Below are 17,190 nucleotides of genomic sequence, written 5' to 3'. Positions count from 1 at the left end.
AATAAGAGAGAACAATTACCTTAGATAGTGGGAGGGGGAGAAAAAGCCCACATATGGTGTATGTGGTGGCCAGAAGATTTGAGGCCAGATGACACAGTGGTCAAAACCTCAGGATCGAGTCTGAGTGTGTTCAAATATTGGCACTGCTACTTAAGAGCTGTGTAGCTTTGCGTAAGTTACATCATCTTTCTTTGCCTCAGTCTCTTCATTTGTAAAGTGGATATAACAGAATTACCTATCTCACAGGTTTATGGCGGGAATTAAATTCATGCCAAGTGGCCGGGCGTGGTGGCTCACGCCTGTAATCCCAGCATTTGGGGAGGCCGAGGCGGGTGGATCACAAGGTCAGGAGATCGAGACCATCCTGGCCAACATGATGAAACCACGTCTCTACTAAAAATACAAAAATTAGCTGGGCGTGGTGGCGCATGCCTGTAATCCCAGGTACTCGGGAGGCTGAGGGAGGAGAATCCCTTCAACCAGGGAGTCAGAGGTTGCAGTAAGCCGAGATCGTGCCACTGCACTCCAGCTTGGCGACAGAGCAAGACTCCATCTCAAAAAAAAAAATTAATGCCATGTGCTTTATATGTATCTGCCACATACAATGTATGTTAACTGTAATTACTGTCATTTTAGAACTAGTGGAATTCTTTGTGTGACCTTGGGCAAGTCACTTAACTTCTTAGGATCTGTTTTCTCATCTGCAGCCATGAATAAGTCCCCTATTATGTAAAGAAACAATATATATAAGAACACTTTCTATCCATAAAATGTAGTCATAAAAGTCAGTTTAGAGGCTATGCTAGCTATCAATTTATCGCCTCAGCTCTGAGTCCATCTTTCATTGCTTGCTCTGTGATAATGGAGGTTTGCAATGTAAAGCTTTGCCAGTATAAGGTGCTAGAGGGACTCAGCAGGAAGAAAGGGTTTCTATGCCAGGTTAGGGTGCACTCCTATCAGACTTCAAGTTCTTTAGCACAAGTGGCCAGCAGCATGTGCCCTCTTCTCATGGGCAGTTTTCCCCAGCATCCCCTCAGAGTGGTACTGGGGAGCGCCTCATTGACTTTACCTCGCAGCAAGCCAGTTACATTCTCTTCAATAAGGTCTGCATCTCAGTGAGTAGGTGGGGGAGTGTGGTGAGGGGATGGTATCTCAGCCATAGGAGGAAATGGTTGTTCTTTATATCTGCTGTTCCTATCTCTTCACCTCTTACTATCTAATCCCCTATTACTCTAATCTCCTGTTTATAATTCTTTATTCAACTACTCAAATTGTTGCATGGTTTCTATCTCCTGTTTGGACCCTGATTAATATGGAGATGGAACAAGGTGATAACTTGACCAGTTTATTACTTTGCAAGGGAAAACATGAAAACACTTAATCTAAAACTAACTTTAGGCTGGGTGCAGTGGCTGAGGCCTGTAATCCTAACACTTTGGGAGGCCAAAGTGAGAGGATCACCTGAGGTCGGGAGTTCAAGACCAGACTGGCCAACATGGTAAAATCCATCTCTACTAAAAATACAAAAATTAGCTGGGCGTGGTGGTGCACACCTGTAATCCCAGCTACTCGGGAGGCTGAGGCAGGAGAATTGCTTGAACGCGGGAGGTGGAGGTTGCAATGAGATGAGATTGTGCCACTGCACTCCAGCCTGGGTGACAGAGCAAGACTCCATCTCAAATAAAAAATAAAACTACCTTTTACCACAATTTCTATGCTCTCCCCCTTTCAATCAAAATGAAAACAAGGATAATTAGGATATGAAATAGACAAATTAGTAGCAGACCCAGAAATAATAGAAAGAAATCCTCCATAAGTCAGCTCTGGACTATAAACTCCTTTAGAGCAGGGGTACCTCACATTTATTCTGTATTTCAAATACCTACTATGGGGTTTGGTCTATTTAATGCAAGTGCTAAACTATTTACGACTGCTAAATTAATTACATCAACATCTGGGCAATCAACAGTGGATATGTTAAGACAAGAACCTCCACAGAACAGAACCCAGTCTTTTTTTTTTTTTTTTTGAGATGGAGTCTCGCTCTGTCGCCCAGGCTGGAGTGCAGTGGTACAGTCTCAGCTCACTGCAACCTCCACCTCCTAGGTTCAAGCGATTCTCCTGCCTCAGCCTCCCGAGTAGCTGGGACTACAGGCGCCCGCCACCATGCCTGGCTAATTTTTGTATTTTTAGTAGAGACAGGGTTTCGCCACGTTGGCCAGGCTGGTCTCAAACACCTGACCTTGTGATCCACCCACCTCAGCCTCCCAAAGTGCTGGGATTTACAGGTGTGAGCCACTGTGCCCGGCTGATTGTCTTTTATGGAAGATGAACAGTAGCTGTTGTGGCTTCCCAACTGACCCCAGCAGAAGTAATATTTAGAGCCTCTAGAGCACATCTGTTTCCACTCCGCCTACAAGCTATCAGCACCTCCTGATGGGGTGAGGCATGGCATTCCTTTTATTGCTAACGCAGAGCCTGGCATATAGGAGGCTCTTAGTGAGGTTCTGCTAAATTAGTGAATAAATGAAGGAAAACTGTGCCTTGTACCTGTAAGAAGGGACAGAACATCCTTTTGCCAGTGGTGTATGGGATTCACTCTGATTGTACTATTAGCATGCTCATCTCTTTCAAAGAGGAGAGCCTGATAGAACATCTGTTCCTTGTGAGTCTTGGTTGAGGAGTTTGGTGCTACATTACCTGAGGTACAGGAATGGGTGTGTGTTTTTGGGCAAATAGGCTGCATACACTGTTTCTATGGCTTTTCTCAAGGAAGTTGATTCTACCAGACGATCTAAACAATAAAAAGAAAGCAACCAGTTCAAAACTGTCCTGAGGGGTGAGGTCACAGGTGTACATTCACACAAAGTCATGAAATCACCTCAGGAAAGACATTTCTGTAGTGATATGCACATCACATCCCCAGGAAGAAAGGTGCACCTTTACCTGTCGCCACTTTCCAGCCCACTATCTTACTATCGGCTTGGGACTGTTTTACTTCAGCCAAGTAATAGAAAACATGATAAGGCAGTACATTCTCCCTCCTCACTTCCCTTTGCCCCCATTAGCTCATGTGGACTAACTGTGCTCTTTCTGGGCACAGTGGGAAATATGATGTCAGCCCTCAGACTTTTCATTCTGCAAATACATACTGCATATCACACACACCAAGTGCTGGGAGACAACATGCTGATAAATAAACTAATTCCAACCCCAAGTGGCCAGCACTATTATAGACGTGTGTGTGTGCTAAATAGTGAGCCAACTCTTCCGGTTCTAGGTGCTTCGGGAGCCGCGGCTTAAGGTGTAGACATGGCGAAGTCCAAGAACCACACCACACACAACCAGTCCCGAAAATGGCACAGAAATGGTATCAAGAAACCCCGATCACAAAGATACGAATCTCTTAAGGGGGTGGACCCCAAGTTCCTGAGGAACATGCACTTTGCCAAGAAGCACAACAAGAAGGGCCTAAAGAAGATGCAGGCCAACAATGCCAAGGCCATGAGTGCACGTGCCGAGGCTATCAAGGCCCTCGTAAAGCCCAAGGAGGTTAAGCCCAAGATCCCAAAGGGTGTCAGCCGCAAGCTCGATCGACTTGCCTACATTGCCCATCCCAAGCTTGGGAAGCGTGCTCGTGCCCGTATTGCCAAGGGGCTCAGGCTGTGCCGGCCAAAGGCCAAGGCCAAGGATCAAACCAAGGCCCAGGCTGCAGCTCCACCTTCAGTTCCAGCTCAGGCTCCCAAAGGTGCCCAGGCCCCTACAAAGGCTTCAGAGTAGATATCTCTGCCAACATGAGGACAGAAGGACTGGTGTGACCCCCTACCCCCGCCCCTGGGCTACCATCTGCATGGGGCTGGTCCTCCTGTGCTATTTGTACAAATAAACCTGAGGCAGGAAAACAAAACAAAACAAAACAGTGAGCCGAGAGAGCAACTAACTTTGCTCAGGAAGTTCTGACGGTGGAGTAGCCATACTGAGTTTTCCAGAATTTCAGGCAGTACAAGTGTCAATGCATATTCAAGGTAATTTAGGAAATGAGGCTGGTTTGAAGAGGGTAGAAAGCAATAAAGGCAGAAAAAAATAAGACTAAAATCAGGGGAAGATGTATTTTCAGGAAACAGCTCTCCTTTCTCTCTGAACAGATTTAGATGACCTGCTGATTATCTGTTGTCCTGTGTTGCTGTAGACAAGGATACGTCAAATCTTTTTATTTCCAACAGGAAAAGTGGTTGTGACTTTATCAATGAAGAGACTAACATCCTCTGAGTGCTGACCATATCCATGGCCCCATCATTAATGTCACTGTACTCTGTAACACGTGTCCTGACCACACAGGCCTGGAGCAGGCATGGGCACCTGACAAAAGGACAGCTGGAGCCCCTCTACTGAGAATTCTGAACTTGAGATGCGCCAAAGGAGTGGTCTTTGTCCCTGCCACCTGAGTGCGCCTGCACAGTGTAGATAAATGAATGGCATGCGTAAGAGCTTGACCTTTCTTTGCTACTGGGAACTTGGTATTGTGAACACACTAGCTAATGATAATGCAGAGGCTGTGGTAAGCAGCCCCAACAGAAACACGGACAGAGGCCAGTCAGGCAGCACCTACAGTGAATTTTTTGTCTGCTTTATAGCCAGCATGTGTGTTACAAAGCAGTTATTCTTCATGGTTAGGAAAAAAACTAATGAAAAACATTTTCTGAGCCTTGATTAAAACAAGCTTTGTTATATATCAGGTGTAAGTCCTTCCTAATAAAATAGGAAAAACCCTGCTAATAGACATCAGTTTAACAGAATGTGGTTGTAAAATGACTGGCTCTGTCCTTACTGTTCCTGTATTGCTTTGAACAACTGCTGTAAAACATGCATATTTTGAAACATTTACAGCTGGTTAGCAGTCTAAATGGAAGGAGGGAATATTCCATTTCCAACAGCAAACAAGCAAACAAAACAAAAACTATAAAATTATTATGAAATGCTTTAAAATAAAGATAAGTAACCTATAGGATAAAAATGATGAAAACTGAAAACACGGAAATGGAAAGATTCATCTTATTTCTGGATGGAAAACAAAAAATTCAGACTGTGTTTGGGATTACTTGTTGTTGGTAGGTCACCATCAAAACCTTGTAATAAACAATTAAGTTATAAGGAGCACAATACAAAATAGCATTTGTTTAGTAAATAACAATCATGTAAACACTATATCAGCAGAGAGACAAAAACTGTAAAGGAATTTGAGAAATATCCTAATTAATTTAGTTAATTCCCTCCCTAATTTTTAGAACTGCTCTTTGTATCATAAAGCTCATTCCTTAAACAGGAAAATCTCAAGTATCTTAGCAATTTCTTTAATGACAATGCCTATACCTAAGGTACCCCTTTTCCGTATCCTGCTGTGCAATTTCAAACAGTGGCCCTTGATCTCTTCCAGCAATGTTCTGGCTAGGGCTTACTCGTAAGGACTCTGACACCATCAGGTGAGGACAGTGTGCTGGCTTTATGCCCTCTCCTGGGCTTCCTCTTAGAGGTAAGAACCAGACTCCAACAGTCAACCAGCAATGAGCACATGTGGGAGGGCTGAGCACAGACTTAGGACAAAAATTATACATGCTTCCCAATAAAACCAAACTTTGCCATGAGGTTTCTCCATGTTTAATCAAACCTATGGATCAGAAATTTTTCCATGGTCCCATAAAATTCCCTGTGGGTGTTTCCTGTGAGTGGATTTCCCATGTGGTTCTTTTTAACTTACGGTTGATGAAGAGTAAGAAGATGCACTTCTTCACTGAGTAGTTTGCATTGGATATGTAACCATTCATTTTGAAGGCTAGGGTTTTATCCTCACATCCAATTTCTATCAGTTCTCTATTAGAAAAGAGATTCTGAAGCTTTTGAAAATACTCAAAACTCAAACATTACAAAAGAATCAGAATTTAAAAACACAAGGTTCCTTCCCATAAACTAACTTTGTGAAATGAGGGCCCCGAAGACTTGGTCCATTTGAGGTCCTCCTGTGCCTGTCCATTCATCCATCCATTTGTCTGTTCACCCATTCACCCACCCATCCTCCCATCCATCCATCCACCCACCCACCCACCCACCCACTCACCCACCTACCCTACTCAGTCAGTGTTTTCAAGCACTTGTGCTATGTGCCAGGTACTGCTCTAATTGCTGGAACAGAACAATGAATCCAAGCTCTGAGACCTTATTTTGCTCAAACTTGAATGTATCTTAGTAACTAAATCCCAAAGATGAGATTCCAAGAACTTATCTCTGCTGAATTACTTGCTATACTGAACAGCACCACAACGTGGTTCTACAATGTGTGTTGTTCCCAGGAGTGTTTACTGGGGAGGGAAGGTTAATAGGCGAATAAGAGGTCCTCAGACAAGCCACACTTATTTCTGTCTGGAGACCTTCCCAAGAACTAGTCCCTCTGTCTGGAAAGCTCTACTCCTAACCTATTGGTACCTAGTTAATTCCTATTTATCCTTCATATTTCAAAAAATATTTCTTCAAAGAACCTTCTCTAATGATCCCTTTCTCTGACCCTACAGAGTTTTCCATCATGTCCTTTATTTTTCCAGTGAGGCATCTAGCACAATCTGCTAATGAATGGCGTAATTATTTCATGTGTCTTTCCAACTGCAAAGTCAGCTGAGAGCAGGCATCATTTCTTCTTTGTTCACTACTATAACCCTACCATATAGCACAATACCCAGGAAATAGCAGACACTCAATAAGTTTGCCGAATGGCTGGTGGAAGCTTTTTATGCAGTAATGTGTGGAATGAGTGTCTTCAACGGAGGGTACGGCTTGTGGCACTGCCCATACACACTGAACCAGCAAACTCTTTTTTCCCAAAATGCCTCATGAGGCTAGTGTTCTGGAAGCCTGCTTTGGGAAATGCTGCTATAGAGGATTTCTAATCTTGTACAGTCCCTAAGATTTCACAACAACTAATTCTGATCTTAAAATCTAGTTAAAGAAGCTCTGAAAAGTTACACTGTAAACAGAGCTCTCCCTTCGCTCTAGGAGCACAGTTTTAAAAAATTAATTCATTAACAATTAGAAAGAAAATAGTGGCTGGGCACGGTGGCTCACGCCTGTAATCCCAGCACTTTGGGAGGCCGAGGTGGGTGGATCACGAGGTCTGGAGATCGAGATCATCCTGGCTAACACGATGAAACCCCGTCTCTACTAAAAAATACAAAAAATTAGCTGGGTGTGGTGACAGGCGCCTGTAGTCCCAGCTACTCGGGAGGCTGAGGCAGGAGAATGGCGTGAACCCGGGAGGCGGAGCTTGCAGTGAGCCAAGTTTGAGCCACTGCACTCCAGCCTAGGCAACAGAGTGAGACTCTGTCTCAAAAAAGAAAAGAAAAGAAAAAGAAAATAGTAAATTAAAAGCAAACTAATTGTTCCTCAGTCAGGTTAGCTCAAAGAATAAATAATCTGCCCTTCAAAGTAGAAACTGGGCTCTGGAATGACTGCTGCTGCTTTTCAGATTTCTGGGAAAAGTGAAGTCAGGAGCTGTCTCATCCATATACCTCCCATATATGGAAGGGTCTCAGTATTTTTCCTCATATTATGACATAGGCACTTTGGGCTTTATAAAGTCCTGAGACCGCTAGGAATCTATGATGGAAATGGTGATTTTTACATGCAGAGGGGAGCAACTATGAGGAATCCATAATGCAAGCACTTTTCCCCACTTATGCTTTTCTTGATAATGAAGACTTAGCAACACGAATCTAGTCTTTAAGGGCAGGAAATATCTTATTTGTCTTTATATCCCTAACTTCTAGCACAAAGCCTGGAATATGAGAGGCAATTAATAAATGTTGAATGATAAATAAGTGAAATCCTAAAGTGATGATAATGGAAATACAAGGAAAAGAAGGAGCATTGGAGGATAAAATAGTTCTACTACACTATAAATATTTTCAAGACTAAGACCTTGAAAGAACACATGATTCACGCCACAGAATCTAGGAGATTACATACACCTAGAAAGTGTTGATTACGTGAAATAAGAACTCCATTAACAAATCTGAAGCATAAAACAAGCCTGTGTATTTGACTAAAGCAAACTCTTAACACACATAATATCTTGAAAGGTTCCAAAATAATGTGATGGAATGATAAACCAAGATAATAAATGTAAAAGATTTTTTTATATAGGTTATCGACATACCGACTAACAGCATTTCCAAAGATGGAGCGAATATTGTCCACGGTTGAGGCATTGGGTAGTGTCCTAACATCAGCTACTGTCTCTCCTTGCTGATAAACAAACAGCAGAAGACACAAGGATTTATTGTCTCATGGCTGAGACTGAAACATCATAACCTTATCTCCACCAGCAAACTATTAAAAATCCCCTTTTTTCTTTTCATAAAACAAAACCATCCCCCATAAACCAAGAACTTACTTTTTTAACTGAGAAACTAATGCCTGCATTGTGTACTGAATACCTGGAAAAGAAAAACAAAAGAGTAAGAAAAGAGTTGCCAAAAACACACACTAGATGTCAGAGCCCCCTTTTAGTTAAATAAATTAGTGGAGTTGAGTAATCTAAACAAAGGTACATATAAAGAAAAATATCTCCATACAGCCTATTAATATTTTACCCACAGAAAAATAAACCAGCAGAAACTTCATGGAAATAAAAATGCTAAAGGTGACTGAATCAAAACACAGACTCCTCTCTACTTTTATAGGTTGCTGATAGAATCAAGGATATCACGCCACTATCTCTTTTTTATTTATTTTTATTTATTTTTGAGACAGAGTTTTGCTCTTGTTGCCCAGGCTGGAGTGCAATGGCACGATCTCAGCTCACTGCAACCTCCGCCTCCTGGACTCAAGCGATTCTCCCGCCTCAGCCTCCCGAGTAGCTGGGATTATAGGCGCCTGCCACCAGGCCCAGCTAATTTTTTTTGTATTTTTAGTAGAGATGGCGTTTCGCCATGTTGGCCAGGCTGGTATCGAACTCCTGATCTCAGGTGATCCACCCGCCTCGACCTCCCAAAGTGCTGGGATTACAGGCGTGAGCCACCACATTCGGCCCACAATCTCTTCACTTTCAGTTTTATTTTCAGAGTGTCCCAAAGGTCTGGTTTGCCTCAAGGACATCTTGAGAAGCTAGCTCCAACAACCCCTGCTTTTATTCTCTCTCAGAGCTCTCAACATGCCCTCCTTCTCACTGGCTTCTTCCTGCCCCTGGGTCTTATTCTAGTATCTCCCAATCTTTTCTTGGTTGGCGGTTATTTCTCTTTTCTCTACAGAGCTCGTGAACCGAAGGATTGTGTCTAGCAAAATGCATTTATTAAGTAACAATATTTCACTTTACCACACCTAGAATCAAAACAGCCAACTAGAACTCCTTTATTTTTAGGAGGTAATGAATATTCTGACACTGATTGATAAAATTCCAAGAAAAAGGCCGGGTGCAGTGGCTCACGCCTGTAATCCCAGCACTTTGGTGGGCCGAGATGGGCGGATCACCTGAGGTCAGGAGTTCGAGACCAGCCTGGACAACATGGTGAAACCCTGTCTCTACTAAAAATACAAAAAAAAAAAAAAAATTAGCCGGGTGTGGTGGCATGTGCCTGTAATCCCAGCTACTCAGGAGGCTGAGGTAGGAGAATTGCTTCAACCTGGAGGTGGAGGTTGTGGTGAGCTGAGATCGCACCACTGCACTCCAGCCTGGGTAACACAGCAAGACTCTGTCTCCAAAAAAAAAAAAAAAGTATAAAATTCCAAGAAAAAGCAAAGAAACTTGATGTACAAACCTGTCATTCTATTAAGGTGAAATGTTTGACCCACTTTAGATTTTTTTTAGAAATACTGAAAAATGGGCCAGGAGCGCTGGCTCATGCCAGTAATCCCAGCACTCTGGGAGGCCAAGGCGGGAGGATCATCTGAGGTCGGGAGTTTGAGACTAGCCTGACCAACATGGAGAAACCCCATCTCTACTAAAAACACAAAATTAGCCGGGCATGGTGGCATATGCCTGTAATCCCAGCTACTTGAGAAGGCTGAGGCAGGCGAATTGCTTGAACCTGGGAAGTAGAGGTTGCGGTGAGCCGAGATCACACCATTGTACTCCAGCCTGTGCAACAAGAGTGAAACTCTGTCTCAAAAAAAAAAAAAAAAAAAAAAAAAAAAGAAATACTGAAAAATGGCCAGGCATGGTGGCTCACGCCTGTAATCCCAGCACTTTAGGAGGCCAAGGCAGGCAGATCACCTGAGGTCAGGAGTTCAAGACCAGCCTGGCCAAAATGATTAAACCCCCTCTCTACTAAAAAAAAACAAAAAAAAAATTGCCGGGCATGGTGGCAAGTGCCTGTAATCCCAGCTACTCGGGAGGCTGAGACAGGAGAATCGCTTGAACCCAGGAGGCAGAGGTTGCAGTGAGCTGAGATCGCACCATTGCACTCCAGCCTGGGCAACAAGAGCGAAATTCCGTTTCAAAAAAAAATATATATATATACACACATATACATATATATAAATATATATATACACACATATACATATATAAATATATATACATATACATATATAAATATATACATATACATATATAAATATATACATATACATATATAAATATATACATATACATATATACACATACATATATATATACATATACATATATATACACACACACATATACATATATACACTGAAAAATAGTTAACATATCCCTATCATAATCAATGATATGTGGGTTCGGAGAGCCTATACTGAAGCCACCTGTACCATCTGTACCAGCAGCGTAAGTCTATCATGGATATAACGTTGTTTTCATCTGTCCTGAATCCCTTCTCCTCCTCCTGGTAACAGCCTCTCATCTTCCTTTAGGAAACTACCTCTATTCCATTCTACTTGATATGCACCCTTAGTAAGACTGCCAATCAAGAAATCTTCTCCCCACAGATATGGGCACATGATCATCGAATGTACTCTGTTAGGAAACTGACTCTAGAGCAAAGTCAGGAAAAGAATGAAAACAACTGGAGTACAGTAATGATGTTAAGTCCCAGAGGCACCCTGGTTCTTATTCTCTCCAAGGGGCAGCTGCACACACTTCATGTGGTAACTCCTAGCCTTCCACTAAATTTCTTTTTAGCTCAAGTTGGCTAGAGTCACTTTGTTTTGTCTGCCATAAAAGAGCTCTCATTGATCTAAAGACCAACTGCTCTTTCCTGGGGAGATGAGAGAAACTGCAAAATTGGTGGCTAAACCTTGACCAGAAACTATCTGTAAGCTAGTTTTACTTTTCACCATCTAGCTCAGCAACTGTTCAATGTATGAGCACTAGAACACATTACTTTGATGACAAATCTCAGAGACCCACTCCCAGATTTTGGACTGTACCTGCCAACAACTTCCAAAATTTTCCCATATTCTTCACTTGGATTTTTTAAAGCTTTTCTCCTCGTGGCTATGTTGTAAAAAAGGTCCTCCACCTGAACAGAAGATTGATTTTTCTTGTAAATTCATAGAAGTACTTGAAAATAAAACCCAAGATGTCCTGGCAAAAGCGAGGTCTTAAGATAGTGAATCCAATTATATTTACCAACAGCACAGTTCTAAGCACTGACTGGGGCCAGGGATAAGACAGCATTAACAGAAGAATTAAAGGACATTTTTCCTGCCTCCCACATTCATTCACTGATTTCTCAACTATGCACTGGGGGCTAGCTTTGTGTCAGAGTCTTTGCTTTGTACAGAAAATATGAAGACAAAGCATGATCCTGCTCAGGAGAGTACATGATTTAGTGGGACACACATGTAAACTGACAAGTATAGTATCACATGGCATTCAAAGATATTTTTCAGGCTGGGTGCAGTGGCTCACGTCTGTAATCCCAGAACTTTGGGAGGCCAAGGTGGGTGGGTCACCTGAGGTCAGGAGTTCGAGACCAGCCTGGCCAACATGGTGAAACCCTGTCTCTACTAAAAATACAAAAATTAGCCGGGCATGGTGACGCATGCCTGTAATCCCAGGTACTCAAGAGGCTGAGGCAGGACAACTGCTTGAACTCAAGAGGTAGTGATTGCAGTGAGCTGAGATCACACCACTGCACTTCAGCCTGGGCAACAGAGTGAGACTTTGTCTCAAAAAAAAAAAAAGTATTTTTCAAACTAGTAATAATCACAAAATTTCTTAGATCATTTGAAGTTCTTGGAAATCACATGGTGGTCACCGTGGTAAAAGATTTTTTTTGTTTGTTTGTTTTTGTTTTTGAGACCCTGTTTCACTCTTGTTGCCCAGGCTGGAGTGCAGTGGCATGATCTCAACTCACCACAACCTCTGCCTCCCGGGTTCAAGCAATTCTCCTGCCTCAGCCTTCCTGAGTAGCTGGGATTACAGGCATGCGCCATCACGCCTGGCTAATTTTGTATTTTTAGTAGAGATGGGGTTTCTCCATGTTGGTCAGGCTGGTCTCGAACTCCCAACCTCAGATGATCCGCCCTCCTCAGCCTCCCAAAGTGCTGAGATTACAGGTGTGAGCCACCGTGCCCAGCCCAAGATGTCTCTTAACATGTATTGCAAAACACACATTCTTTTCTGCCTCCTGCCTGGCTCGTCACATCCAGGATTAGGCAGGTTACAGTGGACTTCAAGAAGATGTGCTCTAGATGGGACTTGGAATGGAGGGGCGGGATGGATAACATGACAGCGGAGTGCTTTGTGTAATCATAGAAGGGAAAGAGACCAACTTGAGGCACTATACATAGGCAGCACGATGGACTTTCTCCCAGCTAATGATACAGTCATATGTCTCATCAGACACCCTTTAAGTCAAGAGGGCAAGTATTCTTTGCTTCATTTGACAGATGAGAAAACTGGGGTTAAGGGATGTTAAGTGACTTGCCTCTGGACATACAACCATTGAGTGACAAGGCTGGGCTCTAACCCATGCCTTCTGGGGTCAAGCTTAATCTTCTTTCAATGACAACTACCCTGCCATTGACTTTTGCCATCCCAATAAAGAATCTCCTAGCCCTTAAAAAAGACAAGGACGTGGCAGGCTGCCATGCCACAAAAGCCAATAGTCATTTATCTTGCTTAGAGGATATCTTGGGACCTCCATTAACTAGTGCAAATTCATTTTATTATTACCCTGAAAACTTAGAAGCAATTTTATTTTTTATTCCAATATTTATACAAACAAAGCTTCAACAATTTACTCTCCCATGTACCATTCTTACCGTGATCTGGGTCCCTTGATTGCCAGCACATGGTTTAGGAGGGGCTTTCAGTTTTCCATCTGAGTAACTTGCTCTAATGAGAAAATATAACAAATTAATATCCAGTAGAGAGATAGATACTAATCCCAAGGGGAAAAGAGAAAATCATATCAACAATAGATTAAAATATAGCCATATTATATATTATCTTAATTATTTATCATTTTCCTGTTTATTTCTCCACTACTTCCATAATCATTTGAATTGGATTTTTTTTTTTTTTGAGACGGAGTTTTGCTCTTGTTTCCCAGGCTGGAGAGCAATGGCACAATCTCAGCTCACTACAACCTCCGCCTACCAGGTTCAAGCGATTCTCCTGCCTCAGCCTCCCAAGTAGCTGAGATTACAGGTGCCCACCACCACACCTGGCTAATTTTGTATTTTTAGTAGAGACGGAGTTTCACCATGTTGGTCAGGCTAGTCTCGAACTCCTGGATACGCCTGCCTCGGCCTCCCAAAGTGCTGGGATTACAGGCATGAGCCACCATACCCAGTCCTTGAATTGGATTTGAAAAACTATCTGTTCTTCCAGCAAATGTTGCTATTTACTTGCTGAGTTCTGAGCTACCAAACAATGGTTTTACCACTGCCTAAGTTAACAGTAAAATTTTTCAGTAATTCTGCAATTATTTATTGAGGAACTACCATGTGTCAGGTCTGTGGAAGCCCTGGTAATAAAGAAAGGTCTTGGGGCTCGGCGCGGTGGCTCATGCCTGTAATCCCAGTGCTTTGGGAGGCCGAGGTGGGTGGATCACGAGGTCAGGAGATCGAGACCATCCTGGCTAACTAACATGGTGAAACCCCGTCTCTACTAAAAATACAAAAAATTAGCTGGGCGTGGTGGTGGGCGCCTGTAGTCCCGGCTACTCGGGAGGCTGAGGCAGGAGAATGGTGTGAACCTGGGAGGCGGAGCTTGCAGTGAGCCAAGATTGTGCACTGCACTCCAGCCTGGGCGACAGAGCGAGACTCTGTCTCAAAAAAAAAAGAAAAAAAAAAAAGAAAATTAAATTAATAAAAAAAAACAAAGCTCTTGATCTAGTGATAGGTAGACTTTTTACCTAACTGTAGAACAATATGCTAAGCGATCTAGAGAAGGGTCCATTCAGCCTGAGGTGGGAGTGAGGGTGGGTAAAAGCATCCCAGAGAGATGGCAATTCATCTGTTCTTTAGAGAGGAATAGTTTCAGGTGGAGACAGCAGGAAAGACCATCCAGGAAGGCAAAAACAAAAATGAAAGCATAGAGGCTTTAGAATACATGGCAGCTGGGAATAGGTAGAGAGAAGGGGCTGGAAAGGCAGACTGAGAGCACATTGGCAGGGGCTGGTTGCCAAGATAATGACTCTATTTCATCCTGCTATGGAAGGGGAGCCATTTTAGCATGCAGCAGCATACCACAATCTAGGCTATCTAGGAAGGCATTAACTTACAACTCTGTCTTCAGTTAGTGACAGGGGATTCTAATAGTATCAGCCCGTCTAGATCTAGGGCAATTAGAATTCACACAGAGTCAAACGCCCTTAGCATTAATGTTGTGTAATCTGAAATCTCCACCTTCCATTACTTCACACATTTATCTGTTGAGGAAGACTGAGAAACAGACAGAACTATCCTTTGTTGAAGATATTTTCCCTTATTTATTTATTTATTTTAAGGTTGGAGTACAGTGGTGTAATCACAGCTCACTGCAGCCTCAAACTGCTGGGCTCAAGCAATCTTCCCACCTCCGGAGTAGCTAAGACTACAGATATGCATCACCATGCCCAGCTAATTTTTTAAAAATTTTCTGTAGAGACGGGGTCTTGCTCTGTTTCCCAGGCTGGTCTCAAACTCCTGACTTCAAGCAATCCTCCCACTTCAGCCTCCCAAACTCACAGGCAAAGCCACTATACCTAGCCTATTTTCCCTTTTAATCTACAAACAACCTGTGTGATTTTTAAAAATTATCTTTCTTTTGGCATGAATTAGGTATTCCTACCAGTCTTCAACTAGTGAATGGCCAGTGCTTATAAAAACAAAGGTGCAATTTTGTTATTCTGAATCTCATTTTTGTTCTGTTCAAAGGCCATTCATCAGTTTCTGAAAACTGTACCAGCATAACAGATAGCCAGCAGCTACTTGTGGGAAGGCAAACTAGCACAGGTATACACAGGTGGTGGGAGCTGGTGGCTCAGGAGCCAGCTAAGGAAACATGAACCTTTAGCATCCCAGCCACAGCCCTCTAATCGGTCCAAAGCAATACCCCAACTGAAGGGCAAAGGGGCAGAAATTACATCAGCAGCTACCATTTACTTAAAATACCTACGTGTAACAGACACCTTGCTAGGCACTTGTAATATGTTAAATCATATCTTTTAAGAATCCATGAAGTAAGAGTATCACCTAATAATCATCCTTGAGGATTATCAATTTATCAATAAGGAGAAAAGAAAACGTACTCAAGATCTCTGCCAAAAAAGATAACACTGGTGTTGAGACAGGATTACTCTGAGACCTAGGCAAAAAATACATTTCAGAATGAATATATATGAGTAAAAGAAGTCAGCACTATACCTGTATGCACACTTTCCATCAGCTGTTTTCGTTGTAATAGTAACATGAGCCACATGGCTTATGCTGGCCAAAGCCTAAGGAAGAAAAGAAAATAGACTGAAAGAAAAACTCACTGCTGGGTCACCCACTGTCACCTCACCAAAGGGAAAGGTTATCTGAACTGCTGCTTCCATTTTGTATTAATATGTGGCAACGATGAGCACTTTGCTCACTTGCTTTGATGACATGTTGAAAAAGAAATGATCAATCTGTAGCATAATTACTAGAACAAGTGAAAAATACATATTAAAAAGTCCAAAACACACCAAAACATTAATGTGTTAATAAGCAATTGTGTTGAGGTGGTAGAACTATAGGCATGTTTAATAATATTCTCAATGAAGTGTCTTCTAGTAATTTTTAAAACTTGCCTTCAGAAATGGGTAAAGGAATCACTCCAAATAGATAGTGTTTTATATTGTTAATCAAAACTGCTTTATATAAGCAATTATTCATTTAGAAATGTAAATTTGAAATGCAATTAAGACAAAACAAATTTTAAAAACCCATGACCATTTTTCCCCTTTATAACCAAGATTGGTTTCTCAGACCTTTGGAATCTGTATCTTTTTTCACAAGAAGGATACTACAGTATGTAAAGATGTAACTCAGGAACTGTGCTATGACGGGGTCTGTGTGACAGCATCTCAGTAGACAGTAAATACAGCTGTGGCAAGTTCAGTTCATTGAAAGTCACATGGGTCAGGCTCAGAAATCACCAGGTCCTAGCTGGATTTCCCTGGTTTATGTAATTGAGCTAATGTGCATCATTAAAAAATATAAGGCTGGGTGGGGTGGCTCACGCCTGTAATCCCAGCACTTTGGGAGGCCTAGGTGGGTGGATCACCTGAGGTCAGGAGTTCAAGAACAGCCTGGCCAACATGGTGAAACACCAATCTCTACTAAAAATACAAAAATTTGCTAGCTGTGGTGGCATGTGCCTGTAATCCGAGCTACTTGGGAGGCTGAGGCAGGAGAATTACTTGAACCTCGGAGGCGGAGGTTGCAGTGAGTGAGACTATGCCACTACACTCTAGCCTGGGCAACAGAGTGAGACTCCGTCTCAAAAAAAAAAAAAAAAAAGTAAATGATTTTGAGACCTGTATAAGGAAAGACATGAAAATGCAAAGTAGAACACAACATCACACCAGGAAGATAGAGTACCACTACACACGGCACAGCAGATGGTCCTGCTGCTTCAGAGGCCTCTTCCCCAGCAGTGGAGCCAAGTGGACAGGGGCACAGACTCTGGAGTCAAACTGCCTAGTTTCTAATCCCCACTTTGCCATTTTCTAACTGCGTCCGCTGGCCATGTTTCTATGTAAA

General features: G+C 42.5%; 1 protein-coding gene and 1 pseudogene across 28 annotated transcripts in view; one reads left to right on the top strand and one right to left on the bottom strand.

Moving 5' to 3' along the window:
• The window catches only part of MLH1 (mutL homolog 1), a 57,381-nt gene that overhangs the window by 30,547 nt on the left and 9,644 nt on the right, over positions 1 to 17,190 (bottom strand). For 17 of the 28 annotated variants that reach the window (XM_047448155.1, NM_001354619.2, NM_001258274.3 and 14 more), the window contains 7 exons: positions 15,826 to 15,899; positions 13,237 to 13,309; positions 11,395 to 11,486; positions 8,438 to 8,480; positions 8,201 to 8,289; positions 5,756 to 5,868; positions 2,701 to 2,794 (listed from right to left, as the gene is read on the bottom strand). In XM_047448155.1, the coding sequence (XP_047304111.1) occupies positions 2,701 to 2,794; positions 5,756 to 5,822 (161 nt within the window). In that variant the 5' untranslated portion in view covers positions 5,823 to 5,868; positions 8,201 to 8,289; positions 8,438 to 8,480; ... (1 more) ...; positions 13,237 to 13,309; positions 15,826 to 15,899. The remainder of the gene's footprint in view (positions 1 to 2,700; positions 2,795 to 5,755; positions 5,869 to 8,200; positions 8,290 to 8,437; positions 8,481 to 11,394; positions 11,487 to 13,236; positions 13,310 to 15,825; positions 15,900 to 17,190) is intronic. The other 11 variants (NM_001354622.2, NM_001354627.2, NM_001354623.2 and 8 more) reach the window with 4 other exon arrangements.
• On the top strand, positions 3,266 to 3,899 carry RPL29P11 (ribosomal protein L29 pseudogene 11; annotated as a pseudogene).

Source organism: Homo sapiens, chromosome 3 (assembly GCF_000001405.40).
Source record: "Homo sapiens chromosome 3, GRCh38.p14 Primary Assembly".
Lineage (NCBI taxonomy): Eukaryota > Metazoa > Chordata > Mammalia > Primates > Hominidae > Homo > Homo sapiens.
This window is presented reverse-complemented; position numbering and strand designations above follow the sequence as displayed.